Raw genomic sequence first — 2,586 nt, forward strand, 5'->3', positions numbered from 1 at the left:
ACTTCGGCTCTGCCAGTTGTGTTTAGCTGGTGTCTGTTCTGATTCGCCAATGTCTGTGCTGTTCTGGCTGTTAAACCTTTGAATGTCACCCCTGCCAACATCCATCCACCAACCTAACCTTACAAGTCTTTAATTCTCAAAGATTTCTAATACTCATGTTCTCCTGTCTATAGATTCAGGGCCAGCTCTTTTCTAGCATGGTTCCCTGCAGTTGCCTTCTAATACTTCTCCCTTTCTACGGCCATAGTTGTATTTCTAAAATGCTCCTTCTGCTTAAAATTCTCCCTGGATGTCTTGTCCTTTAGTTGTCTATTACCCACCCTCACCTTCAGCCTCATCTCCAGCCTCATCTTCAGTGACTGAGGTCATCACAGCAAACCACTGGGCCTTTTGTGCTCAGAAACTCTGCTCAACCTTCCTTTTCCATCTCACTCCTGCACATCCTTCAAGATGTGGCTTAGGCATTCCTTCCTCCAGGAAGTCTACCCTCCCTTTTCCCCAGCCAAGTGGAGCGAAGCTTGCCCCTCTGTGTGATTCTGGCTACTCATGCTTCCCTTTCTCATGGCACCTGCTATACTGCAGAATGGTTGCCTCTGAATTTGTGTCTCCTGCTGGAGACTGGAGCTTCTCCAGAACAGGGTACTCAGTCTTACTTGGATCCATATCCACAGCACCTTTGACAGAGCCTGGCATACTACAGGTACTCTCTAAATGTTTTTGTTTTAATGAAAATAAGTATTCACACAATTCACAGTCTATTTACTGTAAAGTACAAAATAGTCCTTCATTCTTCCTCTCTCCCCAACCCTAATTTTCTCTGTCTCTGATGCTTCACAAACATACACATACTCAAAGGGTTCGTATAGGTTGTTAAGTAAAGTAATTGAAAGCTTCTGCTTTGATTTTTTTTTTTTAATTTCAGGAAGCTACTTGAACAGAGAGTAATTATTACTGTTAATAGCAATAATTTCCCTATAATCTGGTTACATGTCCTATTTCATTTTAATGATCAGAGCAGCTGTCTTTAAACAAGTCTGGACAGGGATCTGGAAGCAGAGCTTCCTGAGACATATTCTCTTTGGTCCAATTATTCCACTTCTGGAGAATGTCTGAGAAGGCAGCTGAGGTTGGGGGCAGGATGGGGCAGTTTATGTCCCTCTGAATCTTCTAGCACACAGGACTTTCCGGAGCTTTTCAACAGCAACTCCACTGTGCCACAGGAGGAGAGGCAGATAGGGTTTCTGATCTCATCATCTCCCTTTCTCTTAAACCCTCCAGCGAGAGCTCTCTGGGGGCAGAGCCACAGCTCCAAGCCAGCAGGTTTCCTTTCCTCTTAATTGGGAGATGATAACATGGAAAACCAACAACCATATCAATGCCTTACAGCTTCTCAGGTCTTTTTTCTCCCCTAAAACTTGCTTTACAGGAGGAAACGGGGCCGCTTCAGATGGTTTCACTTTAAAACAAAACACAAGACTCTATGCTCTGAGCATTTGCTCAGCATTTATTAAATGTCTGTATTGTAGCTACCGGCTTGCTGGTGCCACAGCATCTGCGCATGCTCCCTGTGACTTCCTGGTCTGCAATGTGTTGCTGTTCCTAGCACCAGCTCTCCAGCCAGACCTGGATTACAGTCCCTTTTCAGCCACTCACTCGGCTCCATGACCTCCGAAAGAAAGGCCCTGTATGCTTTTTCATCTCTGAGTTTTAGTTCCTTATTTGTAAAATGTAGATAAAAATATCTACTTTGCATGGTTGACCTAAGGATTAGGCAAGACAATTTAGGGCATACACGTAGTAAATGACTGCTTCTGAGCCCTATTTTACTGGTGTTCTTGGTGGGAGAGTCTTACAGAGCTGGTTAAATGCACCTGGGCTGAAAATGCAAATTTCAGAAATCCGACAGGGGCAGGAATAATGTCCATTTATGAACAATGGGATTTCAACTAAACTCCATCTTTCCCAAATCACAAAGGCACAAAGATGACCTGTTGGTCAATGGTTAAATTCATTTTGGGGAGAAAGATACCTTTGGCATTTTCCCTCTAGCGACTTGCACCTAGCTGACAGCTGTTTTCAATATGTTGATGATTTAGGAAAACAGTCAAAAATAATACTTTGGAAATTTTAGTCCCACAGCTATGAAAAGAGCTGCAGGAAGAGAGAGGTTGTCTTTAATTAAGTCATTCCATCCAATCCATGGTGTGTTTTATTTTATGTTTAAATGAAATAAACCTTAAGAAAAATTATTGTTCTACACACACATTTTTATACACACTTCCTGGCTTGCAAAGGGCTGTTTCCATAATTGAAGTAAATGTAAAATGTATAAAACACATGGAAACATAGGTTGGCACTACTCACGGTGAGTTCTTTTCAAGACAAAATGTATTTCCAGGAAATATCACAAAATTTCCAAGCCACATGAGGTGGTTTGGATAGAATAGAGGGACCATCTTCTTTCCCTTATGCAATATTGTTAATGTTCTAGACTACAAATAGAAAAAAATCCTTATTCATTCTCTTCTCTCTAGTTTTTTTTTTTTTTTTTTTTTTTTTTTTTTGGTCTCATTATTGTGAGACTAT

General features: G+C 41.4%; 2 annotated features.

Annotated features, from left to right (window-relative positions):
* Positions 1,272-1,441: an enhancer, noted in NCBI's record as "active region_1073". NCBI's record gives its function as "activates an Ori minimal core promoter by ATAC-STARR-seq in GM12878 lymphoblastoid cells {active_cell/tissue: GM12878}" and the evidence as "EXISTENCE:reporter gene assay evidence [ECO:0000049][PMID:35858748]".
* Positions 1,462-1,531: an enhancer, noted in NCBI's record as "active region_1074". NCBI's record gives its function as "activates an Ori minimal core promoter by ATAC-STARR-seq in GM12878 lymphoblastoid cells {active_cell/tissue: GM12878}" and the evidence as "EXISTENCE:reporter gene assay evidence [ECO:0000049][PMID:35858748]".

Source organism: Homo sapiens, chromosome 1 (genome assembly GCF_000001405.40).
Source record: "Homo sapiens chromosome 1, GRCh38.p14 Primary Assembly".
NCBI lineage: Eukaryota > Metazoa > Chordata > Mammalia > Primates > Hominidae > Homo > Homo sapiens.